Raw genomic sequence first — 27,904 nt, forward strand, 5'->3', positions numbered from 1 at the left:
ACACAGGAACAGAAAACCAAATACTGCACGTTCTCACTCACAAGTGGGAGTTGAACACAGGGAAGGGAACATCACACACCAGAGCCTGTAGCGGGGTGAGGGAAAGGGGAAGGAGAGCATTAGGACAAATACCTAATGTATGTGGGCTTAAAACGTAGATGATGGGTTAATAGGTGCAGCAAACCACCATGGCACATGTATAGCTATGTAACAAACCTGCACATTCAGCACATGTATCCCAGAACTTAAAGTTAAATTTTTTAAAAAAAGAGAAACCAATTTTTCTTATTTTTATTATACTTTAAGTTTTAAGGTACATATGCACAACGTGCAGGTTAGTTACATATGCATACATATGCCATGTTGGTGTGCTACACCCATTAACTCATCATTTAACATTAGGTATATCTCCTAACACTATCCCTCCCCACTCCCCCCACCCCACAACAGGCCCCGGTGTGTGATGTTCCCCTTCCTGTGTCCATGTGTTCTCATTGTTCAATTCCCACCTATGAGTGAGAACATGCGGTGTTTGGTTTTTTGTCTTTGCGATAGTTTGCTGAGAATGATGGTTTCCAGCTTCATCCATGTCCCTACAAAGGACATGAACTCATCATTTTTTATGGCTGCATACTATTCCATGATGTATATGTGCCACATTTTCTTAATCCAGTCTATCATTGTTGGACATTTGGCTTGGTTCCAAGTCTTTGCTATTGTGAATAGTGCCACAGTAAATATATGTGCACATGTGTCTTTATAGCAGCATGATTTATAATCCTTTGGGTATATACCCAGTAATGGGATTGCTGGGTCAAATGGTATTCCTAGTTCTAGATCCCTGAGGAATCACCACACTGACTTCCACAATGGTTGAACTAGTTTACAGTCCCACCAACAGTGTAAAAGTGTTCCTATTTCTCCACATCCTCTCCAGCACCTGTTGTTTCCTGACTTTTTAATGATCACCATTCTAACTGGTGAGAGATGGTATCTCATTGTGGTTTTGATTTGCATTTAAGAGAAACCAATTTTTCTACAAATTAATTTGAGTGCCATTTTGTTCCTACCAGGAACTTGATGGGAATCACAGGTTCCTGTATATTTATAAACCGTATATTTACTTCAGAATAATAAATCATATTGTCTTAGTCTGTTAAAAAATTTCTCAACAGAATACTAGCAATCCAAATCCAACAAAATATAAAATTACATCATTATGAAATGGGATTTATGTCAGGAACAGAAAATTGACTCAACATATGAAAATCAAATAATTAATTTGATTATTAAATTGACTCAGCATATGAAAATCAAATAATACAACTGAATCTGATAAAAGGACATCTGTAAATAACCGACAGCGAATGCCATAGTTAATGTTGAAAAACTAAAATTTTTTCCCTTAAGATTAGGAACAACACAAGGATGTCCACTCTTGCCAATTCTATTTAACATTGTACTTGAAGATCTAACCAGGGAAATTAGGCAAGGAAAATAAAAAAGGGCCATCTAAATTAGAAAGGAAAAACTGAAAATATCTTTATTCACAGATAACACAAAGTTATATATATAAACCCTTTAAAATAAATTTTAAAAATAGAGCTAATAGTGATTTCAGCAAGGTTGCAAGATATACACAGAAGTCAATATAAATGGCCCTATTAAAAATCAGTTGTATTTCTACACACTAACAATGAACAATCCAAATATAAAGAAAATCAATTTTATTTACAGTAGCATCAAAAGAATGAAATGCTTAGGAATAAATTTAACCATATAAGTGCAAGACCTGTACAATGGAAACTACAAAATATTGTTGAAAGAAATTAAAGGTGACCTAAATAAATAGTGAAATATTCTGTGTTCGTGGATCAGGAAACTTAACATGGCAATTCTCCCCAAATTTATCCACAGACTTAATGCAATAGCTATCAAAATTCTAGTGGACTTTTGCACAAAAAGTAGTAGTGCTGATCCTAAAATTTATATGAAAATACAAGATAATGTTAAAACAGAAACAAAAGTGGAGTACTCACACTTTCCAATTTCAAAACATACTACACAGCTGCAGTAATCAAGATGGTGTGGCTAGCACAAGGATAGACATATAGATCAAAGAAATAGCATTCAGAGTCCAGTAATAAATCATATATCTATGGTGAGTTGATTTTCAACAAGGGTTTCAAGACTACTCAATGGGAAACAATAGTCTTTTCAACAAATGTTGCTATGGCAATTGGATATTCACATGCAACAGAATGAAATTGGGCCCCTAACTCCCACCAAATACAAAAACAATTCAAAATAATTCAAATACCTCAGTGTAAGAGCTCAAACTATAAAGCTATTTATTATAGGATTACATAGGTGTAAATCTTCATGGCCTTGGATTGGGCAGTGGTTTCTTAAATGACACCAAATGGGCAAGCTACAAAAAAAATAGAGATAAATTTGACTTCATCAAAATTAAAACCTTTTGTGCTTCAAAGGACACCATTTAAAAATGTAAAGACAACCATAGAATGGAGAAAATAGATGCAAATCATATCTGGTTAGGGTCTAGTATCTAGCTAATACAAAGAGCTCTGACAACTCAACAATAAAAAGATATTAACTCCATTTTTAAATGGGCAAAAGATTTAAATAGACATTTCTCTAAAGAAGGCATACAAATGTCCTATAAGGACATGAAAAGATTCTCAACATCACTAGCCATCAGGGAAATCCAAATGTAAATCACAAAGAGATCCTACTTTATACCTACTATAATAGCTATAATCAGAAGAAAAAAAAGACAAGAAGTTTGGAAAACGATGTGGAGAAATGGTAATTCTCATACATTGCTGGTGGGAATGTAAAATTGTGCAGTCACTTTGAAAAACAGCTTGGCATTTCCTCAAAAAGTTAAACATAGGGTTACCATATGATCCCACACCTAGGAACCTACCCAAAAGAACTGGAAACATATTTCTACAAAAATGCTCACACAAAAAAAATGTATACACAAATGCTCACAGAAACATTTAAACATTTAACAGCTAAAACGTGAAAACAATCTAAATGTCCATTAACTGACAATGAATACAATGTGGTATATCCATGTGAAATTATTCAGCCATAAAAAAATACTGATACATGCTATAACACAGATAAACCTTGAAAACATTATACTAAATTAAAGCCAGACACAAAAGCCACACATTATATGATAGCATTTATATGAAATCTCCAGAATAGACAAATCCATAAATACAGAAAAGTAGAGTAACTGCTAAGGGCTGAGGGAAAGGAGGAACAGGGAGAGACTGCTAATGAGTGTTTTACGGGGGTGATGAAAATATTTTGGAATTAGATAATGGTGAGAGTTGCACAATTTTATGAATATACTGAAAACCATTTAATTGTTTACTCTAAAATGGTGACTTTAATGGTAAGTGAATTACATATTAATAAGTTTTTAATAAGACCTTATAGAAACCAATAGTGAAAATGTATCATAAATCTGGGAATGAAACTCTAACCTATGTGCCTGGAGGATGGAGAGAGAGATTGATAAAACTGAGTTTTGGCAAACGTGAGGAAAAGGAGTTTCACTTTTTTGAATGTTGTATGTTCCTTGCTGGTATTAACTGGCACATTTATTTGAGTAAGAAATTTAGCAGTTTGCCTTAAAAAAAGATAAAGGACATACCCTAAGAGCCGGGATTTTCACTTGTAGAAATCTAATATCAATGTGTGGCTGGCATAGTTGGCACTCAGTGATTTTCTCTATTATAAAGGTGATAACCATAGGGGGAGATACTAAATTATGCAGTAAATTCCTGCAGCTAAACTCAGCTCTCACTTCTGCTTCTTTTTCTAAAAACAAGACAGTATTCATACTATAATGTACTATGACCATGAAATTTCTGTTCTTTTAATCTTTGCAAGCTGCTTAAATGGGAAGGTGAAATTCTTCCCTAAAATATAGGGTCTTTTTTCTAGGAATACTGAGCATATACTAGCAGAACAGTTAAAGATTTAATGTAGAGTTCCAGCCTCTTTTTGGAGTGGGGGTAGGATGGGGAAAAGACAGAAAGCTTGAACCTCACCCAAACACCATGCAGCTACAAAAAACCCAAGAAATATTCAGAGTGACTTAAGTATAAAGCTTCATGAAAATGAGCAGCGACTATGCATTGATTGATAAAATCAATTACTACTGAAAGAAGTTCCTAAGTGAACCTATATATTTTTTTCTTTAACTCTTTCTCTGAATGGTGATATCTCTTTAAATATGGCATTGCTATTATTTGTAAACACTGTCCTTTGTTCAAATAGAATTCTATCAATTCCTCTAACATGTGGAAAACCATGTGAATCTACTTTTCTAATTAACCATACCCAAGCCTTTCAGTCTACGAAGACATAATCTGAAGTCCACTTGTCCAAATTGCAGGCAGAACACCAAACAAGGAGAAATAGCTTCAGAAATCTACTCCATTATCCAAAAGGTGACAAATGACAACTAAACTTCCAGGATGCTCATTGCATCACCACTCCTCTACAGCTGGTTCCATGGAAGCATGGAGTTTCCACCAACATACCAGCTACCACCCACAAGGCCGCATCCTGCTATCTACCTAGCATGGTAGAGAGACAGGGATTGTGACATAAGCAAATACCCTCAGACTGATATATGTAAATGCCAGCCTATGAGCTTCCTGGTAGGGACACCAGCTGTGAAGTCCTCATAACAGCCAACTTCTTGCAACTTTCAAGCTGACGGCCTCAGGAATGGGAGGAAGGACTCCTCCACTGGAGAACTGATAGCAGTATTCTGGTAGAGGAGGCATCAAGAGTCCTGGGAGGCCGGTGGTAATCATGTAGGCACCATGGAAACTGCTATGTGCGTTTGCTGTCCATGTTGTACATGGCAGAGATGTTGTCCTCAGTTATGCTCCTGTCTGTGCTGCAAGTTCATCTTCACCTCAGAGCGGAACTGCACCTGCTTCCCCTGCCCTTACAAAGATGAGCGGAACTGCCAGTTCTGCCACTGCACCTGTTCTGAGAGCCCCAACTGCCATTGGTGTTGCTGCTCTTGGGCCAATGATCCCAACTGTAAGTGCTGCTGCACAGCCAGCAGCAATCTCAACTGCTACTACTATGAGAGCCGCTGCTGCCGCAATACCATCATCACTTTCCACAAGGGCCGCCTCAGGAGCATCCATACCTCGTAAGTGCCAGGCACCAGATGTGGGGCCGCATTGGGTCATGAAAACTAGGGACCACTTGCCAGCTGTGAAGTCTACAGGGCAGGCCAGTGAGCCTCTGAGTTCATTTCTTTATCTAAAAGGAGGAGCCAAGAATTTTGTAGCAATTAATTGTATCCTAAATGGTCACTATGTATGTAGACCATGAGCTCCAAATCTAAGCGCCATTAACTATGTAAATGAGCACTTCACTCTTCTGAACCCCAACTCTCTCATCTGTACAAAACAGTAATAGCTAATACTTAGTGCTTAAGGAACTTGCCAGGCACTTCATGCATGACCCCAGCTAACCCCTCACCCTAAGTCCACTGTTTCCATGAGGAAACTGATCCTTTGAGAAGTTAAGTAGCCCCAGGATCACACAGCTGGAAAGATACAGAGTCAGGATTGGAACCTAAAATTTGGGATCTTAACTTTAAAATGCTGTATTGCAAAACGGAGACAATACCCCCCCCATGATATTGTAGATATAAGGATTAATGTATGTGCTTTGTAATCTGTATGTGATATAAAAATATAAATTGCTCTTTCTCTTCCTATGAACTCTTAATACCTGTAACTTTTAATGGAAAAGAAAGAACTTCTATGGGGCACTTTTGACCCTGCGGACCATATAAATACCCCATACATCCATGAACTCCTACTACCTTCTTTTTCCCATCCAGAAGTCATAGTACTTAGGGTCTCAATTATTCATTTGGAGTGCTAACCCTTCATATCAGGTCCTACATTATCCTCACCTGCTCTACCAAACCAGTCTTTTTATGTCACACATGAGGGGAGTCTGAAGTAGTAAGAGCACACTTCTTAGAAGCGGAAAGATGACAGCACCATAAGATGACAGGATTAGAAGAGGCAGAAAAATGGAAGGCCAGTTTGAAGGCTTTCAAGCCTGGAAAAGCAATTCTGTGAGCAAAGGTTTGGTGAATTCAGGGGAAAGATATTATCCATCTTGCAATTAAACATTTAGTAGATGCTTAACAAACATAGCTCTCCACCCATGACCCTCTCATAGTGTTTGCATAAATAGGAAATCCAGGGATTCTCGATGCAAGTCTAGAAATCCTAAAACATGGAAAATTGTGTCCACACTCCTCTCTCAACTACCTGTTGTTCAGTTGTGCAACAGCAACTGAACCTCTGAGCCCATTTCAACAGGAAAGGGATAAAATTGGTGCTTTAGGAAAATGCCTTAGGCTCAGTAGCTCCCCAACGTTACTGTGCATTGAAGTCACCTGAGGATCTTTTAAAATTACTGATGCCTGATCCCCACCCCCCCAAACATTGATTTTATTGGTCTGGGGTACCATCTGAGCATCTGAATTAATTAGAATCAACCCCCCCACCCCGCTTCAGGTGATTCTAATGTGCAGAATGGCCTGCAGGAGGCTAGGAGGGAAGCCAGGAGATTTGATAGGTGGTACAGTAAGAATCCAGGTGCAAGAACAGGCCTGATTTTGGGAGACAGAGGGGGCTGTGCAGAGGAGCAGAGACAGGATATCTCAGCAAGAAGATAAAAGCGCTGGGCTTGATGACTGTTTTGAAATGGAACCATGGCCACTGAATGCCCCGTCCAAGCCTGAGGCTTTTGGAGGATGGGCAGGGATGCTACCACAAGTGTTAGGAGGTCGGCTCTGGGTGCTTTTCTTCAATCTGGCCTCTCTCCTGGCTTCTGACCCTCTGCCTCCCCTGCTTCTCATCACCACCTTCTGCTCAGCACCTTACTTGTCCTGCCTCACTCTGGTCTCATTCATCCCTCTCCATCTTAATCTTTTTGTCACTTCCTTTTTCACCCCTAACACAGCTCCCTAGGCCATTAATACCTGTCTCTTAGCCCTGAGACCTCTTTCTCATCCTCCAACACCTCCCTCCCCCACTTCTTCTTTCTTTTTTGTGAAAATGCTAGTTCATGAGCTTCCTAGTAGAGATACCTCCTGTGAAGGCCTCATAACAGCCTCTCTTTATATTATACCTTGATTCTCCAGGCCTTACTTTTTTAAGCAAACTAAAGTCCATCCAGGCACTACATGGACAATTAACCTGTACCACCAGGTGATCCCTTCAGGACCCATGCAGGAATCTGGGAAAGCAGAGAGGAAATAGAGGTGAGAACATCGAGGCCAGCATGCCTAGAGCTCCCAGATCCCTAAGGGACAAATTTTCCAGGTGCCTTAATATACACAGGGAGCATTCTCTGTCACCACAGGGCCACTCCATTCCAATATACTTGGGAAGCACCTGTGACTGTCAGGACTCAGACATAGGCTCCTGGCCAAGGGAGCAGGGAAGACAGGGACACATAAGGAATGCAAGAAGACAAAAGCAAAAAGGAACACAGCCGCAATGTCGAGATTAGTATCCAAATATTATTATGCAAACAGAGGAGATAGCAATAGCAGCAAATTGTGTGCCTTTTACACCTCCATTCCCACAGCTATTTCATTTATTTTTATACACTGCATTTGCTGATTTTAAGTTCTTAGAACAGGTACTTGAATTTTACAAGTATGCTTTTACGCCATAGCTCTTACGATTAAATATATGAAATCAGCCTCAGGCATTAGACAAATGGAGAGCCTTAACACACATAAATGAAACAGTGGAAGCACATACTTTTCACAGACTTGGCCACTATTTTCCTATACTATGATTTCTCTCTACTGCAGACATTAGCTGGCTAGTAGCAAAGGGGTGTAATTATAGTGGCCACATTTATTGAATGCTTACTATGTACCAGCAGTTAAGCACTTACATGGATTACCTTTTAGACTTTATAAAAACCTCACAAAGCAAGTAGTACTGTGAGCTTTGACTTATAGTTGAGAAAACTGAACATGAGAGAGGTTTAAAAAAACATCTCAGAAGGTACAACTGTAAAGTGGTGCATTTTTTATCACATGCATTCTGCCTCTAAAGCCCAGATCCATTACCATTACCTATTGCTCTGGTTGGCAGATCACACAGGTTCTAGGCTTGGCTCAGGTACAGACTTGCTCTGTGTTCCATCTATTTACAATAAATAATGTCAATGTCCTCCAGGAAAAAAAAAACACTGAGAACACACCTGTAGTTGGACAAGATTGAATTTATTGACTCATTGCAACAAGTGAGAACATAAAGCATGGGAAAGTGTAAGGTACCTTGAAAAGTTATTACAGGATTTGGGCTCATGTTAGGTAAGGACACGGGAGTAAATCTATTGAATATCTTAATAAATCTTATCTAGAAGGTAGGAAGAACAGAGTGACCCAAAAGTTGTTAAAAAAAAAAAAATCAACTAGGTTTTTTGGTTAAAAAAAAAAAATCAACCAGGGTCAGGGGCCGTTGGATCATTTTTGTGATTTAGACAACGTTCTTGTCGGAGTCCAAACATTATTAAGTGGTCTTGTTTCTGCTTTGATCCATCAAAGTCACAGAGTGGCCTTGTCTCATATTGTGTTTTGATATTACCGATGTTCAACCGAACACCAAGGCCTAGCTGACAACGCCAGTCTCTGCTGCTTTTCCTTTGCTTAATAACAACAAGCAGTCTCAGCACACTGGCTGTGTACCACGGACTGCTCTTAGACTGTACAAGTATTAAACTCAATTTTAATCTTCTCAAGAAACTCTATGACATAGGTACTAATTTTATAACAAGGAAACAGGCCGAGAGGTTAACTGGCTTACCTGAGGTCACCCCGCTGAAAAACGGTGGAGACAGATTGAGAACGCAGGCACCTTAGCGCCCAGCTCAGGCTCCTCACCACCACACTAGACTGCCCCTCAGGAACCAAGAGTTCTTTCAGAGGTAGAGAAGCAGAGCAAGCTCTTGAGCCTGCCTCCTGAAACCCTGCCTTTGCTTCTCCTTTCAGCTCCAAGACTGCCCTGCGCACTGGGAGCAGCGATACCCAGGTGGATGAAGTAAAGTCAATACCAGCCAACAGTCACCTGGTGAACCACCTCAATTGCCCCATGTGCAGCCGGCTGCGCCTGCACTCATTCATGCTGCCCTGCAACCACAGCCTGTGCGAGAAGTGCCTGCGGCAGCTGCAGAAGCACGCCGAGGTCACCGAGAACTTCTTCATCCTCATCTGCCCAGTGTGCGACCGCTCGCACTGCATGCCCTACAGCAACAAGATGCAGCTGCCCGAGAACTACCTGCACGGGCGTCTCACCAAGCGCTACATGCAGGAGCACGGCTACCTCAAGTGGCGCTTTGACCGCTCCTCCGGGCCCATCCTCTGCCAGGTCTGCCGCAACAAGCGCATCGCTTACAAGCGCTGCATCACCTGCCGCCTCAACCTGTGCAACGACTGCCTCAAGGCCTTCCACTCGGATGTGGCCATGCAAGACCACGTCTTTGTGGACACCAGCGCCGAGGAACAGGACGAGAAGATCTGCATCCACCACCCATCCAGCCGCATCATCGAGTACTGCCGCAATGACAACAAATTGCTCTGCACCTTCTGCAAGTTCTCTTTCCACAATGGCCACGACACCATTAGCCTCATCGACGCCTGCTCCGAGAGGGCCGCCTCACTCTTCAGCGCCATCGCCAAGTTCAAAGCAGGTCCTCCCCTTTTCCACTCCTTCAGCCTAACTTCTAGTTCAGGAACACATGGGGAAGATGGCGTGGGGTAATCTGTTAAGTGAGTGCCTTAACAGATTCCACCTAGTGGAGCAATCAAGGCACCAGGAAACACTGTGCTACCCTGCAAGTCACTATCCTGGTGTCCGCTCCTGGCAACCACCACCAGCCACTTAACTTCCCCGTGCCTTGCTTTTCTCACCTATGAAACGGGAATAGTAGTGACCCCCTCACTGGGTTGCCATGAGGATTAAGTGAGTTCCTCTATGTAAAGCATGCAAAAAGTCATATGACAAGTGCATAAAGATTCTATAATCTTGATTATAATCTTCATGTCCTCAGGTCTCATTTTCTCCTTTGGAAAATGAAGACTTTGATCCTATAGTATACTGACGTTCTGTGACGTTCTAAGATGTTCTGTCACTGTTGGATCTCTTTGGTTTTCCTAAATATGCAGGGGGAGATAATTAAGTCAGTGCTGAGAATTATCTCAATGTTAAATTTCCCTCCATGAATTTTTTCCAAAACTTGCAGATGCCAAAGTAAATAAACTGGCAGCAAACATATAACAACAGGGACAACTCTTAACTAGCCAATAGCATTCTAGTCAACAGCTTATTTTTCCTCTGCATGCTTGTTCATGGTGATTTGGTTGTTTTATATTGTTACATATAATATTGCTTTAAGTGAAATAATATTTCAATGATGGTTTCAGTGATGGAAACAAGCATAAGAGTATTTCACAGGATTCAGCAAAGAGCCCATAATTTCTGGTTTCAGGGACAAAACCAAGTATAATAATATTTCACAGGATTCAACAAAGAGCCCCATAATTTCTGGGTATGTCTCTACCTGGTCAGACATGAGAATCCAAAAGATCCCTTTAGTGCCCTTTACCCCCAGGAATAGTTCTTTGTATAAAGGTCCACTTTACTCAGGCCTGTGGAGCACATTTTGTCTAATCTCAATAATGCTACAGTACAGGCATTAAAATGTCCTCCATGGATAAGACAACTGTGGTTCAAAAAAAAAATTAGGACAGGGAGCTAATAAGTGGCAGATGCAGTCTATTTGACTCCAGTGCCTATCATTAATTCCACAATATTCATTTGACAATCTACTTTGTGCTAAGCAGTGACCAGAATCTGAAGATGAAGAGATTGAAGGGGAGGGAAGGGGAACCACCACTACCATCCATGGTCTGTTTCCTTAAGGAGTGGCCTACAGTCAGTTACCAAAGTGCACCAGATCAACCCAGGCCTTTCTCTTTGTCAGATCTGTTAGTCTCCATCATTCAGATAGGCCTACACATTTGGGAGGGAGGCAGCTTTTCCTTGACCTGCACAGAAAGGTCCCATTGGATGTAAAGGTGGGTCAGAAACAGGCTTTGCTAATGACCACATCACCCCGGACCTCTCAGTAGCTTCAGGAATACCTTAATTTTTCTCAATGGCCACATACCTGGAAACCTTGCTTGTCAATTGACATTTATTTAATTTTGGAACCACCACCAGGGAAGACTTCATATTAAAGGAACCCTGCAGGAACCACATTACCAAGAAAATGGTAGAACTGTTGGTTCCAAAAGGGTTTTCTGAAGGTGGGACTCACTGCCTCCCTAGGCCAGGGCTTGGCTGGATTCTTTGGGTCCTCAGCATGGTGAAGGCACTGCCGCCTACAACCTACTGTGCCTTCCATCCCTCTGTAGAGAACCTCGTCCTTAATACAGGAGAAACTTAGGATAGTTTTCTGAGTCCAGGGCACCTAAAATTTGAGCAGACAACAAAGCTCAATTCAAGGTGGGGGGAAAATGCCTGTCCAAATTCCAGGAAACCCAGCAGTTGGAAAGGGAAAAAGGGATAATTGGTAAATTAGATATTAGCTGTAAGTAAAGAATTTAACCTTTCATCCTTGCTGAAGAAACAGACACACAAAAATTTTTTAACCAGGGTTCAAACTTGTTCGTGAGCATTTGATTCACTTTTCTGGGAGGTACCATAAATTGGCATTCTAAACAGATCTCCAGGTTATTCAAAAGCAAGTGATCTGGGAATACACATTGAGAAACTGGGGGACCTAGGGAGAAGATCCATTCTAGAAGCTTTACTAAAAACTGATGCCCCTGTCCCATCCACATAGAGGTGCAGGCTCAGCAAGATGGAATTTTAAAAAACTCCTCATGTGATTCTATGGTGCAGCCAAGGTCGAGAACCACTGAAATAAAGGGAGCTCAAAAGTTTAGGTCCCTGCCACTCAAAGTATGGTTCAAGGACCAGTAGCATTGGCATCACCTGAGAGCTTGTTAGAAATGCAGAATCTCAGGACCCACCCCAGGCCTAGTGCATCAGAATCTGCATCTTTATCATGATCCCAGGAGATTCTCTGGGTTCGATTCTAAACCTCACTGAAAACTGCCTCACCTGGCTTCCTGAGCCCCAACACAGGCCCATTGATTCAGAATCTTAGCAGATGAGTCCAAGAGAAGAGTTTTTTTTTAACACTCTCTCAGGTTATTCTGGTACTCAGAGAGGGCTGAGAGCCACAGCTGAAGCAATTAAGAACCTAGTTTGGAGCTAGACAAATAGAATTAGGGACAGAGCCTAGTTTCTCCCATTTACCTGATGTGTAACACTATACAGTCACTTAACTTCCCAGGGCCTCAAGCTTTTTCATCTATAAGTGGAAACAATATCTTCATTGTAAGAAGATATATGTGATAGATAAAAACATATGGATCTGGTCCATAAAAAGTGTTTAATAAATAACAACTAGTTTTAAGTGTATTGCCTAAAAGAGACCTTGATTTGACTTTGCTTTAAAATCAGCTCTTGCAGAGGTTTCATATTTGCAGAGGTTTGGGGTGGGACATTTGTGGCTTCCTCTGTCTTTTTTCTCCTCCTGGAGATGCCTTTTTCCTCTCATCTAAGAAATTTTTATCCTGCTTCTCAGGACTTTGCTCTACATAAGCCTAATCAATCCCTAATACAGCAAGAAATTTCCTATCCAAGTATCTTTAACAGTAGGTAACTATTGAATAGTCAAAGAAAATAATGCGCAAAGTAGAATTCTGGCTGCCACAGTCACAGTGCATTGGGGAAGGCAAGAAGCACTTCTCAGCACTGAAATCGGACCCTGGTAGTTTCCCTTTCAGTCTCACCTGCATCACCTCATCTTTTCTGAGCCAGTGTGAGGAAGGAGGTGGCAAGAAAACACTGGGGCTTCAGGGAGTTAGCCAGAGAGTGACACTGCTGGCATTCACCAATGAGTTGTTAGAAGACAGGAAAGAATGGCTTTTACTCAACAAATACATTTGCTCACCTCTACACACCATAGTCATAGTGGTAATGTGGTCCCTGTTCTCATGATCTGACAGAACACTAGGGTTTCCCATATTCAAGTGCACACCCTTGTTACAACGACCACCACTCACAGAAGTCCAGCTTCCTATGAACCCAGGATAATGTTATGAACCAAGTGCAAAAATAGCTAGTCATCCCCACTCCTGAGTAAAATTTGGTAAGGATTATTGCCCATCAATTCACTGAAGAGTTTACCTTTCATGAGAAGAACCTTACCCGTAGCATAGACCACAGAAGGGTGACATTCTTCAAATTGCTCCTTAATGCCTCAAATCCTTTAAAGCTAACAAAGGTATTCATTTCACCTTTCATATAAAGCTCATTTCACAGATAGAGATGTGCCACGTGCTTACCCTGCCATAGCATCCTTAAACTGTAGTATCTTTGGATTTATTCATACCTTGAGCACAGATGCCCTCTCATAATCATATCCATATTCTTAGTGCCTAAAAGATACATGGCATGTAACAGGGCTCCAGTAAATGTTTGTTGAATGACTGAGTGAACTTAAAATCCAAATGCCATATGAGGGGACACAGGGTAAACTGGTTTTCCTTGAAGTGTGACAGCAGACTCTTTTTTGAAAGGAGTGGGGGAAAGGCAAGGAGAAGTGACATAGCTGAACCACAAGAGGGACAAAGGGGGGAAAAGGGCATCTAAGAGAGCCACCTCAATGAAGGGAAGCTTTGCTGATTTCCCACTGTTGTATAGGGCTGGAGGCTTAGCGAATGATGCAAGACAACCTTTAGAAGTAGTCGGCAGAAACTTAGTTCTTCCTCTTACCACTGCAAAAGCTTAGGTTTCCTACAGGGAAAAGCAGGCACCAGTCATTTTGTGACTTCACCTCTTCTCAAGTCCAACTTGCAGACAACTGAAATCTGGTAAAAACCAATATCAAGGGTGGGCTTGAACTTCCAGTCTCAGACTCAAGGCCATAGGGATTACTGTTACAAGATAGAAATATCCCAGAGAAGGATCAGAGGGGGAAGAAGGGGAAGGGTGTACTAAGGAGGACCAAATTCATTTCATAAACCTATTCCAGCCTGTTTCAGCCCAACTACAAGTGCCTTCCCTCCCTCTTCATTCACCTCCTTGGAGCCTAGGGTAATTTGTTCTAGTTTGCTACTGACTTTGACACCTGGGGAGATGAAAATTTTAAAAGTAACTAACTTGGCATTTTTGCAGTCCGATATGAAATTGATAATGACCTAATGGAATTCAACATCTTAAAAAACAGCTTTAAAGCTGACAAGGAGGCAAAGCGAAAAGAGATCAGAAATGGCTTTCTCAAGTTGCGCAGCATTCTTCAGGAGAAAGAGAAGATCATCATGGAGCAGATAGAGAATCTAGAAGTGTCCAGGCAGAAGGAAATTGAAAAATATGTGTATGTTACAACCATGAAAGTGAACGAGATGGATGGTCTGATCGCCTACTCCAAGGAAGCCCTGAAGGAGACTGGCCAGGTGGCATTCCTGCAGTCAGCCAAGATCCTGGTGGACCAGATCGAGGACGGCATCCAGACCACCTACAGGCCTGACCCACAGCTCCGGCTGCACTCAATAAACTACGTGCCCTTGGACTTTGTTGAGCTTTCCAGTGCCATCCATGAGCTCTTCCCCACAGGGCCCAAGAAGGTACGCTCCTCAGGGGACTCCCTGCCCTCCCCCTACCCCGTGCACTCAGAAACAATGATTGCCAGGAAGGTCACTTTCAGCACCCACAGCCTCGGCAACCAGCACATATACCAGCGAAGCTCCTCCATGTTGTCCTTCAGCAACACTGACAAGAAGGCCAAGGTGGGTCTGGAGGCCTGTGGGAGAGCCCAGTCAGCCACCCCCGCCAAACCCACAGACGGCCTCTACACCTACTGGAGTGCTGGAGCAGACAGCCAGTCTGTACAGAACAGCAGCAGCTTCCACAACTGGTACTCATTCAACGATGGCTCTGTGAAGACCCCAGGCCCAATTGTTATCTACCAGACTCTGGTGTACCCAAGAGCTGCCAAGGTAAGAAAGGTTCTGGGCCCAGTGGGGAAGTGGGAGGGTGTGGGGCACAGAGTAGAAGTGAGTAGTCAGGAAAGGTTGCACTTACCTCTTTGACCTCTAGGATCTGGTCACTCATATCTGCTCCTCTAGACTCTTTGTGGTCATCCCATTCAAAAGGGATAAGCTCCTGGAATCTTAAGTAACCCAAAATTAGCTTAAACCAAACAGTCAATATATTTAACTCATAATCGTAAATATATCTGAAAGCCCTACCTCCACTGCAAAGGCAGCTTCTCAACTGAAAGAGAACCCAATTTGGGAACCAAAGTAATTTGAAGACACTACTTGGCAGTGTAATGTTTCCCAAAGGAAAGCCTGTAATAGAGACAGCACAGAAATTGTACTTAGAAATGCAGGCTCCATTACCTATCAGCTGTTTCCGTTAAATTGCTGCCTTTCCTAAAGCAAATATCCAGAATCTCTATGATTTGGAAAAATTGGGAGGATCATCCCCAATGAAATTTCAACTCTTCTGAGATTCAACCCGCCTTGAAGGGAGAGAGTGAAGAGTGGGGTCTGTCACAGACCTCTGTAAGTGCCATTGCCTGGCCTCAAGGGACATGACTTCCCTTTGACCCTCTTGACCTAACATGGACAACATGAACAAATGGGCTTTTCTTTAACATACCTTTCAAATCTAGCTGAACCCACACGGAATTGTTTGTAGAACACTTTATTAAGGTTTATGGAGGAAAAAAATTAACATGCAACTAAATATTCTATTAGAGTGCCTCTTTCCTCCTCTTGGATTTTTCCTACAGTCAACCCATGGCCTGCTCCCATGTGGCAGAGCTCATATTTTGTCTCCCATAATCTGAGAACACTCCCAAAGACTTTCAGATCCTTGAGTTCTCAAACATTGATGTGCACCTGGGGATCTTGTTAAAATGCAGATTCTATTTTAGTAGGTTTCAAAGGGGCCTGAGATTCTGGTTCTCACAAACTTCCAGGTACTGCCAATGCTGCTGTCTACAGACTACACTTTAGTATTAAGGATCTAACAAATGAAGGCCAGATACAGACCAAGATTTACTTTTCCATTCTCCTGACGCATCACAATCTATGTTTTATTGTCTATAATTAACACAAAGAACAACCCATACTTTGCAAGTTAGAACACTCCATGAGCTATCGACATGATGAAGTGTTTCTGCCCTTCACATAAGCAATGCCCATAACTGAGCAGCTGAACTACATTTCCAATTGATACTAGATCAGCAAGGCCTATCGTGTATGCTTATTACCTCAAGTATAGCACTGGGTCTCATCTCCTTGACCAACTGAGACCTCTTGAGAAGTTGGCAGGATCTTGCTCTGGAGTCAGAGGATTGCTAGTATCTGCTCTATACCTGGGCATGGAAAATAGTCACCCCATGCCACCTATTAGTCATCCCTGATGAGCTCAAAAAAGAGACCTACGCAAAACAACTCAGTCAAGTCATTTGCTGTCGAAAGAGGACACCTAAACCTACTGCCAGACAGTGATATTTGATTTTAAAATATCATCGATTCATATTTTAGGATAATGGAATGGACTTCATACAGGAATCATAGTGCTTAGCAATGCAGAAGATTAAGTTTATGTTAACATCACTCTCAAATCTTTAGGATTTTAGCATAGAAAATATTCTGAAACTTAGTGTTGTACCTTTTCAATATGTATTGTTAATATCATAGAGATTTTTTAAACTCAGTTTTAGTTCTAGGAATCTCTTCCAAGAAAATTATTAAAAATTCAGACAAATATTTATGCCCAACAGTATTTATTACAGCATTTATTTATTAGAGTATAAAATTAGAAACAACATAAATGTTCAACAATAGAAGGATTAAATTATTTTGGGAGAAATTTCAAAGATGGTAGTTTACTGAATTTTTAATGATTTAGGAAAACATACAACATAAGTAAAAGAAAATAGAAATCAAAGCTACTTAATCCAAGTTTTTATGTATATATATATATATATATATATATATATATATATATATATATATATATATATATGTTTGTATGTGTGTGTGTGTTCTGAAATTGCAAAGAAATAATAATGAATTAACTGAATTGTGATATTATGAGTGATGTTTATTTTCTTCCCCTCTATTTTTCGGTATTTTTCAAGCAGGAGGACAATTGTCACCTCCATGTCGACTGACAGTAACAGAACGGAAACCTTCTGTTTGTGAAACTCATTACAACCATCATGCCAGGCCTCATCACACAGTCTTCCAAGACTTGTGCATGGTCTAATTAAAAGTCTTCGGTAGCTACAGGGGATGGGGTCAGCTTAAACTCACCCCACAGATAGTCAACATCACAAATCTTTAAGGGAAAGAAAGCTGAATGATGTATACTAGTACCACACCAGTATGTTCATTTCTTCCATAGGTTTACTGGACATGTCCAGCAGAAGACGTGGACTCTTTTGAGATGGAATTCTATGAAGTCATTACTTCTCCTCCTAACAACGTACAAATGGAGCTCTGTGGACAAATTCGGGACATAATGCAGCAAAATCTGGAGCTGCACAACCTGACCCCCAACACAGAATACGTGTTTAAAGTTAGAGCCATCAATGATAATGGTCCTGGGCAATGGAGTGATATCTGCAAGGTATTGTGTGCGTTATTTCTCAGACAGATTTTTTTTTCTATGGTAGGTTCTGGATGAGGCCCTGTTAAGATGATCGTGAGATTATAGAACTCACTATGGGACTCTTCCTCTAAGCACAGAACATTTGTTAACTTGAGGCCAAAGAGAGGGCTGCTGGCCTCAACCAGACTTTGCAGATGTCGCCTGAGAATTGTTCTATTTGATTCAAAAACATTTGTTCTAGGCATTGTGTACAGATGTAGAGATTCAGAGGAAAATAAACATAATCCCTGCCTTCAAGGTGCTCAGGGTCTAGTAAACAAATAATTGTTGTGTGAGAAGGACATGAAATAATTGTGGTACGAGAAAGATAAAAATGAGGTGCTATTCCCAGGCAAGGATGGGGTGCCAGATTTAACTAATGAAAATACAGGATGCCCAGTTAAATTTGAATTTCTGGCACACAATAATTTTTATAAAATATGTCCAGTGCAATATTTAGAACCTATTTATACTAAAAACAATTGTTCATCTGAAAGTCGAGAAACTGCCACTAAGCAGGTCAGTGTGCCTTCCAAAAAAGAAAGGACAAAGTTATTCCTATCTTCTTTGTGATCCAAGACTTACTCTTCTTTATATCTCCAGGGAATACACATTCATGAGTATAATTTTATTGATATTAAAAGGAGAAAGAGAATAAAAATACCAAGACTGCCTAGAGCTGCTATCTTACCATATAACCATAAGGGTGTTCTTTGGAATCAGGGTCGATTACATCTTAATCAGGAATTCTTTAGAAGAAGAAGAAAAAAAAAAAGTCCATTCATTTCAGCTTTTGAAAAGAGAAATTTATGACAAAGATACAGGAAGTCTCATGAGACCACTTCTAGGATATGCATCTGATCTGATACCCAAGGGAACTGGAGAGTCATCAGTTTCTCTCCCTCTCCCTCTTTCTCTTCTCTTCCTCTCTCCCTGCTTCCTTCTCTCTCTCACTCTCTCATTCTCTTTGCTTCTCTCTGGATCTGCACCATTTTTGGCTAGCCCTTAGTTTCTGCTCCCTTAAATTCAGCTTGTATATGGTTTTGAATTGTCATGGCCCAACCCCTGTGTGACCTTAAAGCTCCAATGCCCAACAGCATCTGACCAACCATACTCTGTTTCCTTAGTAAAATGTTCGAGGAAAAGAATCCGAGTGGTTGCTACCTCTAGTAATAAAGGCAAAGCAGGAGTAAGGGTGGTCAGTATACCAATAGCAAATCTCCTAGGGTGGGACCACTCATCCTGGTTGCCAGCCCCAGGGGGACATGCTTTACCTCATAGAGTCCAGCACCCATGGACACACACACACATACACATACACACACACACACACACACACACACACACACAGAGAGAGATAGAGAGAGAGAGAGAGAGAGGTCAAACCTGGCACAGGAAGGATGTGAGATGGGGAAGCCTGCTAGCCACTCCTCCTGCCAGCCTCCAGCCAATTACACTGCTGCTCAGTTGCCCCAAAGCCCTTCTCATTCTTGATACCCTTCTCTTCAGAGCATGGAATGCCCGTGGCTGCCCCACATCCGCATGTCTCTTGACTATGGATTTTTCCTTCCATCTAATCTCATCTGCCTTCTCAGTTTTTAGGAATTCCTCAAAACTGTCTTGCCCATGAAGGGCACTCAGTACTGTTGCTAAAATATATGTAATCTATTATTTTCAGATGCCAGGGAAAGAACGGGTGGAGATACCAAAGTATGTCATCAGTCTACCATCTCAGTCCCTCTTGGCTTTTCTTAGGTAGAGGCTTTTGTTGCCCTTCTGAAATTATGGACTCCTTGAGAATAAAATTCACATCTAATTCATGGTTCTTTCTCCCACAGTGCTTACCACAGCACTTTGCATATAGCTGGTTCTTAATAGTTATTGAATGAGTATATGAGTGAAAATGTGACCAAATAAATGAACAAATAAGGAATGTCTAAATTAAAGAGTGAAGAAATAAATTGATAAAATTAATAATTACAAAGTACCGTAAGATGCCTGAAAGCTGTTAAGTGTTTTATACAGTCAAAAAATAGCATTTCCCTTGAAATTGTGTTTATGTGATTAATTTGCCCTCCCTGTAAGAGAAGGAAATGCATTCCAGTCCCTTTCTTTTTAACACAATATCTAAATGAGCAGAGCCCTAATTAATGAGGTTTTCTGAAAGCTTCATTTTTATCTGACTTGAGGAGCTGCAATATAGATTTTTCCTTCAGAAGTAATTCTTCCTCCCTTCTTTGTGGTTATATTAGCATTCCAGAGGAAACACTGGTTTCCTTAACATTTGTCATGATTTGCATAAGTAAAGCCTTCAATACCAAATGAAAATAAGATGTGTGTTTGAATGACATTTATAAAGTTTCATAAAAGTAATGACTTCATTTCTTACCTATAAAATCAAAATTTTTTCCTTGGCATCAGTTCTATGCAGGTATTCCTGAAAGGTTTCACTTAAAATGTTGCAATGAGGCAGCAGGATCATTTCTTATCCAAAATGCAATATTTCTATCACACGTATTTTTGTTTTAAAAAGTGAAATAACACCTTTTATATTTTATTTGCATAGTCTAGGACTTGATTTTTAAGAGATTTATTTGGTGTGTAATACATGCAGCAAGAAAATTAACTTTAATGATTTTGAAAGGTCCCATTTGAAGGTCATTTTTATGTCAGATGGGGTATATTCATTATCACTAATCATCCCAACCACTGGGAAAGGAGGAAGTGATTGCTTCCATTTTACAGATAAGAAAAATGAGGCTGTAAGAAGCAAAGTGTCTTCCATTTTACAGATAAGAAAAATGAGGCCTCATAGAAGGATGAGTTGAGTGGACACCTTGGTCTGTATCCAAGCCCACAGTCCTTTGTTCCCCTGCACCATGCTCAAATGGAACTAAGTCTGGAACAGGGTAGGCTCAGCCCTGGGGACATAGTACTTTACTCTGGGAGAATGATGTCAAAGCCAACAGCAGGGAGAGCTGAACTTTTATTTTTTGAAAGTCAAGATTACGCATTGAAAAGAGCATTGTATTTGGTCTTGTGTACCTGGATTCAAGTCCCAACTCCACTAGGCTCAGGTCCATGAGGATAGGTGTTGGTCTTACACACCCTTCTGTGCCCATGGTCCCTAGCTGAAAGCTTCTAACATCAAAGAGCCTAATTAATATTTTTGAAGGGTAGAGAAATGTGTTTTTAGGTAAGTCATGTACGTGTTGACCTCAGTTTCTTCCCCTGCTCTTCCTCTGGTCCTCAATATATCTGTTGACCATCATACCCATTTCTGAAAACAGTCTCCTTACTTTGACTCACTGTCTCCCTCTGACTTTATATCTCAGCTGACTTCCATGAAAGCTTCCCATGACAAATCTAACTGCCTATCTGTGTATTAGTTTCCTATTGTTGTTGTAACAAATTAGTAGTTTAAATAATACAAATTATTTATTTCCTTACAATTCTGAAGAAGTCCAAATGGGTCTCACTGGGTAAAATCTGTGTCAGCCATATTGCATTCCTTCTGAAGGGCCTGAGGGAGAATACATTTCCTTGCTTTTTCCAGCTTCTAGAAGCCACCCGCATTCCTTGCCTCATGCCCCTTCCTGAATCTTCAAAGCCAGCAACATTGGGCTGAGTTTTCACACTAGCATCTCTCTGGTTCTGTTCCACCTCCATCTTCCACCTTGAAGGTCCCTTGTGACTGCTTTGAGCCCACCTGATAATTCAGGCTAGTCTCCCTACCTGAAGACCAGCTGGGCCAGGTGCAGTGGCTCACACCTGTAATCCCACCACTTTGGGAGGCTGAGGGAGGAGAATCTCTTGAAGCCAGGAGTTTGAGACCAGACTGGGCAACATGGCAAAATCCTGTCTCTACTAAAAATTAAAAAAAAGTCAGCTGGGTGTGGTGGTGTGCGCTTGTCATCCCAGCTACTTGGGAGGCTGAGGCACGAGACTCGCTTAAGTCTGGGAGGCAGAGGTTGCAGTGGGCCAAGATCAAGCCACTGCACTCCAGCCTGGGTGACAGAGTGAGACTCCATGTCAAAAAAATAAAAAAAGACCAGCTGACTAGCAACCTTAATTCCCCTTTGCTATGTGTGTAACCTAACATATTCAAAGGTTCTGGGATTGGGACATGGACATCTCTGGGGTCCATTATTCTGTCTACCACAATCTGTAAAGTGGATGTCCTAGGTTACATCAGACTTGGAGGTAAAAATTCAAGCCCAACAATAGTTACAAATTGGTAATTTTCTGGGTCTTTCCCTGTTAGCTCTTCAGGAAATGCAGCAACCCCTGTCCCCAACCATCCTCTCAAAGCCCTTCTCAGTCTGCACTGAGAGTCATCCTCGGTGTCTGATGGGGCTGAGGAAGTAGTCCTGCCAGCTGCCCTGAGTCTCTGCAGTGCTGCTGTCTTCCTATTCGGCCTGTGCTCCTGCTGAAACCCCAGCCACACAGCAGGACTGCCTGGCCATCATGAAATTCCCTTCCTGATTTTTCCTCTTCCTGCTGCAGACTCTCAGGCTGAGCCACACACCTTCAAAGATTAGGGTTGGAGCCACACACTTTCAAAGGTTAGGGTTGGAGGTCATTCAATCTGAATGACCACCACTATTTCACACTCAAAATAACTACCCCAAGCCTACCCCACAGCCACCCACACACTCACAGTGACTCCGTGCCCTAAAATGAAACCAAGATGGTTTGCATTCTTTATCTCCTTAGGATTTATTCTTTTCTAAAGAGCTCGTGACCTTTCATGTAAGCAGAACCCTGTTGGTCCTTCCTTTGCTTGCCCTGTAGATAGGCTTGAATCCTGGAACAAGTATAATTTCGGATCATGCTGGACCTGATTTCTTTTTAACCTCATGTACAGAGGTCTGAATTAATTATACACCTCAGTCATGGTCCATCATTAGCACTGATCTATACAAAGCCCTATTCTTATTTATATATTCCCTTTTGTGACATCCATTCTAATATGTTTTATGTGTATCTTTTTGTTTTTATGTGTTCTTCCATGATTTGCATTGTTGTTTTCAATGTGTTATTAATTTACACAATTAGCATTGTGTTACATATCTTACTTTGTTTCTTACCTTTTTTTCTTAAATGCTGTGTTTTTATGATCCATCTATGTTGTTATGGGCATTTTGTCTTTTACTCCTGATAACACCTGATCTTTCAGAATGTGCATTTGTTCACCACATGTTACCTGTCTATTTCAGGCAGGATGGACACCCAGGTGACCTCCAATAATACTGCAGTGAACAGCCTTATATATGTCACCTTATGGACACCATAGGTGTGTAAGCGTTCTCTGGGTTATTGATTAGTTTGCTAAGGCTTCCATAAGAAAATGCCACAGACTGGGTGGCTTAAACAGAAATTAGTTTTTGCACAGTTCTTGAGGCTGGAAGTCTGCAATCAAAATGTTGGCAGGGTTGGTTTCTCCTGAGACCTCTCTCCTTGGTTTACAGATGGTCACCTTCTCACTGTCTCCTCACATAGTCCTTCCTTTGTGCACATGCATTGTGATACCTCTCTGTGTTTAAATTTCCTCTTCTTATAAAGACACCGGTTAGGTTGGATTAGGGTCCTCATTTTAATTAAATCACCTCTTCAAAGGCCCTATCTCCAAATATAATCACACTCTAAGTACTGGGGGTTAGGGCTTTGACATATAAATTTGGGGTCAGGTGCAATTCGCCCCATATTAGATACATATGAGTGAAATTTCTAGGCCATTGACATGTGGGTACTTAATTTGACCACATCCATGTACACTTCCATAAGGAATAGATTAGAGCCACTATACCCTAAGCCCCACCTACATTTAGCAAGATCCAGTTTTCTATTATTTTGCTAGCCCAATAGGCATAAAATGATATGTCCTTATTATTTTAAATTTCATTTTATATTTTTGTTAGTTTTCAGGATTTCTTCTTCTGTAAAGAACCTGTTGATATCCTTCGCCCATTTTTCTATTGCATTTTTCTTTTTCTAGGTGATTTGCAGGATGTCCTTATATATTCTAGGTAATGGTTTTAGACATTGGTATTATCTTCTCTTCTGACATTTGCCTATCAGCTTTGTTCATAGTGTACTTCATAAAATAGCAGAAATACTTAATTTTGATATAATCAAAATCATCAATTATTTTTTCTTTATAGCTTAACCTTTTGAAGTTTTATTTAAAAAGTCTTTTCTTAGGATTAGATCACAAAGATAACCTTCTATATATTCTTTTATTAAATTTACAGTTTCACCTTTCAAATTTAGCTCTTTAATCCATCCAGACTCTGCCTTTGTATGTATCAAATGTATGTATGTACTCTGCCTATGTAGTCCTAGGTAGGGATGTTCTTTTTCACCATGTAGTGAACCAGTTTTCCCAATACCATCTACCAAGAAATATCTATTATTCATATTTATACAATGGAAATGCCACTTTTGGTTTTTTTGTTTATTTGTTTGTTTATTTTTTGTTTTGTTTTGAGACGGAGTCTCGCTCTGTCGCCCAGGCTGGAGTGCAGTGGCGCGATCTCGGCTCACTGCAAGCTCCGCCTCCTGGGTTCACGCCATTCTCCTGCCTCAGCCTCCCTAGTAGCTGGGACTACAGGCGCCCGCCACCACGCCCGGCTAAATTTTTGTATTTTTAGTAGACACGGGATTTCACCGTGTTAGCCAGTATGGTCTCTATCTCCTGACCTCGTGATCTGCCGGCCTCAGCCTCCCAAAGTGCTGGGATTACAGGCATGAGCCACCGCGCCTGGCCAGAAATGCCACTTTTATATTCAGTTTCCATATATTTAGGGGTATGTCTCTGAGGACTCTATTACATGCCATGGGTCTATATTTCTGCTCTTATATCAATACCATACTTGTTTTATTATTTTTGAACCTCAGCTTTCTGCCATGTCTTTATGAACTGCTACGGTAAGTATGCCCATTATCCTTCTTTCTTTTTCAGAAATTATTTAGCTAATCATAGAAATTTATTTCTTCATATACATTTTGGAGTAACTTGAATTCTTAGAAAACATTCAGATAGAATTTATTCAGAAGGCATTGTGTTTCTAAATTAATTTGGAAACAAATGGTATTTTTGTAATATGTTTGAACATTTACTCAAACCATAGTCTATGTTCTTTACTGGGGTGTTTAAGTTTTCCTACATAGGTGCACATATTCCTGGTTAAACTAGATCATTTAGAGATCTAACGTACAGCATGAGGGCTACAGTTAATAATATTGTATTGATAGAAAATTTGTTAAGATTTTAGGTGTTCTTTTCACACACACAAAAAAAGATAACTGTGAGATGGTGGGTATGCTAATTTGCCTGCCTGTAGTAATTATTTTACTTTGTATACATATGTCAAAACATCATGTTGCATACCATAAATAAATAAACCAAATAGTTTACAGACTGTTGATATTATGAAAGTTATTTTATTATATTTTCTAATAGATTACTGGTTTAGAATAAAGACTATTTCTGTTTGTAGGGTAATCTTGATTCCAGCAATGTCAGAAACTCTCCTTACTATTCTGAGACCCAATCTGCTATTTCTGCTTGTTTTCCCAGGCATATGATCCTATCTCCTATAAAGAATGATGGTTTTATCTGTTTACTTACAATTCTCACAATTCTATTTCTTTTTTCTTTCCTTATGGCTTTGGCCAGAACCTTGAGTCATACATAAAATTGTGGCAGTGTTAGTAGATATCCTTGTCTTATTCCTGATATTAACGTTTCTCCATTGAGTTATTTTTTATTTAGTTTTTATGGTATATAATCCTTATTAAGTTAAGGAAAATTACTTCTAGGTTTCTGAGAAATAGGTACTTATTAAATTTTTTGCATTATTTGAGGTAATTACATGATTTTTCTCCTTCAGGCCATTATTAATGAAGTGAATTACATTGACTGATTTTTCTGATACTAAATTCCACTTCCATTCATGGAATAAATCCTGTGTGTTCATGATGTATTACTTTTTAATACAGTTTACTTCAGTTAGCTCGTATTTTATTTTGGTTTATTGCATCTATAATTATAAGGGAATTGGGCTCAATTTTTTGCTTATATTGTTTTTATCTGGTTCTGGAATCAATATTTCACAACCTTCATAAAAAGAGCTGGGAAACTTTTTGCTCTTCTATTTTCTAGAATAACTCTTAAGAGTTTGGTAGAATTCATCTGGAAAGCAATATGAGCCTGGGGCATTTGGGGCAGGGAAGAGATGTCAACTATCATTTCAATTTCTTTAATATTCCAAGTTTTGTTTTTCTGTTTCTTCTGTCCTTCTTTCTACCTGATTCCCTTTTTTCATAGACACACCTCAATCCTCACTGCTCCATTCACATATCACATACAGTCTTTATCTTTGAAGATTCTGACTATATTTTAAAGCAAAAACTCAATCTCCTATTTATGAGTTAATTCCTAACACCTCGTAACACCGTTCCATCTTCCTCATGCCCTCTGATAACTCTGTGTGTATCTTGGACATTATTTATACTACTTTTATCAGGGTTATCTCTATGCATTATTTCCATTTCTACTCAGCAATGGATAATCTAATATCATGTATATAATATGACCTTTGCCTTGCATGCAGCCCTGTCTTCTCTAAAACCAAAAATTTTGTAAAAGTAGAGAGCATAATGCTAATAAGGGTCTGGCTTCTTTGTTTTTGCCCTTTCCCTTTATATACAAATATAGAAGGTTAAAAGCTTTGTACATAGAGACTTTGTGCCCTGTATAAACATTCCTCTTCACCATACAAACCCCACCCCCATTCTATCTCAAGTCCTCATTCACCTCAGCAGAGCCCATTGATCCAGTGGACTGTCTTTCATCCCTGGGTCTCGACCTCACTCCATAAATATTTATTTGGGGGGAAGGAATGGGAATGCTGCCAGACCACAGTAGTGAAGAAACCCAGTATCTTCAAGGTAAGGCATGGAGGGCAACATCTAAGCTAACTTGGTGAGATTTCTAGGAGGGTTCTTCTTACCCCTCGTGCCCAGTACAGTCTTTCTTTTTCAGGTAGCACTGGCCATTCACTGTAATTAAAGATAGTATGAAGTGTTTCTGCTAGCATCAAAGGAAAACAACTGGCAGATTTACAAATTATATTATATTATAGTTCTATTCACTGTTCATATACTTCTCTAAGAATCTTCTCTTTTCCATAACTAGTGTTGGGACCACAGAGATGAAAGACTATCATTTCCCCCACACCCCAATCAAGGTGCTCATGGTCTGGTAAGAAAGTCAAATGCATTAGCTGAAACTTAACAACTGATAAAAGCTGTGACAGAACCAAGTTCTAATGGCTGAGGAAGGATACAGAGGATCCTCTATGGTGAAGCTCACCTGCGGTCCAGCCCCATCACTGTCATCAGCACTTAGTCACATGAGCTACCCTAAAGGGAAGTAGGATCTGGCCTATGGAATCACAATCCCAGGACACTATAGCTGTGGGGCTTTGGGAAACCTTCCTGGTCCTTCTGAGCCTCAGCTTCTTCATCTATAAAGTGGCACCAACAGCCACTGTGGTGGTCGTGAGGAGTTAATGAAATGATGTGTGTAGTGTCTGACATGCAGAAGGGCCCAGGCTACTGGGAGCTGTTGTCTATTGGGTGTCATGACTCTTCGCTTCTGATTGCAGGTGGTAACACCAGATGGACATGGGAAGAACCGAGCTAAGTGGGGCCTGCTGAAGAATATCCAGTCTGCCCTCCAGAAGCACTTCTGAGCCCCTTCAGAGCAGGAAACAACCTCAGACTCATCACAAAGTAGACATATACACACACATATATGTATGTATATTTTTCTCACCACATTCTTCAAGGAGGTTGTAGACAAATGTTTCCATGACCTCTCAGCTTTCCAACAGGAATCTTGTAAGAGCTAATAAAAGGAAATACCTGACATGGCTTGCTGTTTGTTCAATGACAACTATTTGTTATGATGACAGTAATAAGCAAGGCACTCAGCAAGTCTGTATATTTCCAGCTGCTCAGGTCTAGTCCTAGGC

The 27,904-nt window shown here is 40.5% G+C and overlaps 1 protein-coding gene and 1 long non-coding RNA gene across 5 annotated transcripts in view, besides 1 other annotated feature; one reads left to right on the top strand and one right to left on the bottom strand.

Annotated features, from left to right (window-relative positions):
• Nucleotides 1-4,651, bottom strand: part of LOC102724068 (uncharacterized) — a 96,106-nt gene extending 91,455 nt beyond the window's left edge. For all 3 annotated transcript variants that reach the window (XR_007096116.1, XR_001740935.3, XR_001740934.3), the window contains exon 1: nucleotides 4,387-4,651. This is a non-coding gene — a long non-coding RNA (uncharacterized LOC102724068). The remainder of the gene's footprint in view (nucleotides 1-4,386) is intronic.
• A 60-nt stretch (nucleotides 4,652-4,711) lies between these two features.
• Nucleotides 4,712-27,798, top strand: TRIM42 (tripartite motif containing 42). 2 transcript variants are annotated; one of them, NM_152616.5, is made up of 5 exons: nucleotides 4,712-5,218; nucleotides 9,110-9,807; nucleotides 14,370-15,190; nucleotides 17,616-17,840; nucleotides 27,536-27,798. In NM_152616.5, exons 1-5 carry the CDS (start codon nucleotides 4,878-4,880, stop codon nucleotides 27,620-27,622), a joined length of 2,172 nt encoding a protein of 723 aa, NP_689829.3. In that variant the 5' UTR covers nucleotides 4,712-4,877; the 3' UTR covers nucleotides 27,623-27,798. The 2 variants fall into 2 exon arrangements, with proteins under 2 accessions (NP_689829.3, XP_011511042.1); XM_011512740.4 differs by lacking the exon at nucleotides 27,536-27,798 and adding an exon at nucleotides 27,064-27,390.
• Nucleotides 9,475-9,975: an enhancer, noted in NCBI's record as "H3K4me1 hESC enhancer chr3:140401669-140402169 (GRCh37/hg19 assembly coordinates)". NCBI's record gives its function as "activates a minimal SCP1, AML or CMV promoter by ChIP-STARR-seq in primed H9 embryonic stem cells {active_cell/tissue: H9 hESC(primed)}" and the evidence as "EXISTENCE:reporter gene assay evidence [ECO:0000049][PMID:30033119]".
• Nucleotides 27,799-27,904: the final 106 nt, after the last annotated feature.

Source organism: Homo sapiens, chromosome 3, assembly GCF_000001405.40.
Source record: "Homo sapiens chromosome 3, GRCh38.p14 Primary Assembly".
Lineage (NCBI taxonomy): Eukaryota > Metazoa > Chordata > Mammalia > Primates > Hominidae > Homo > Homo sapiens.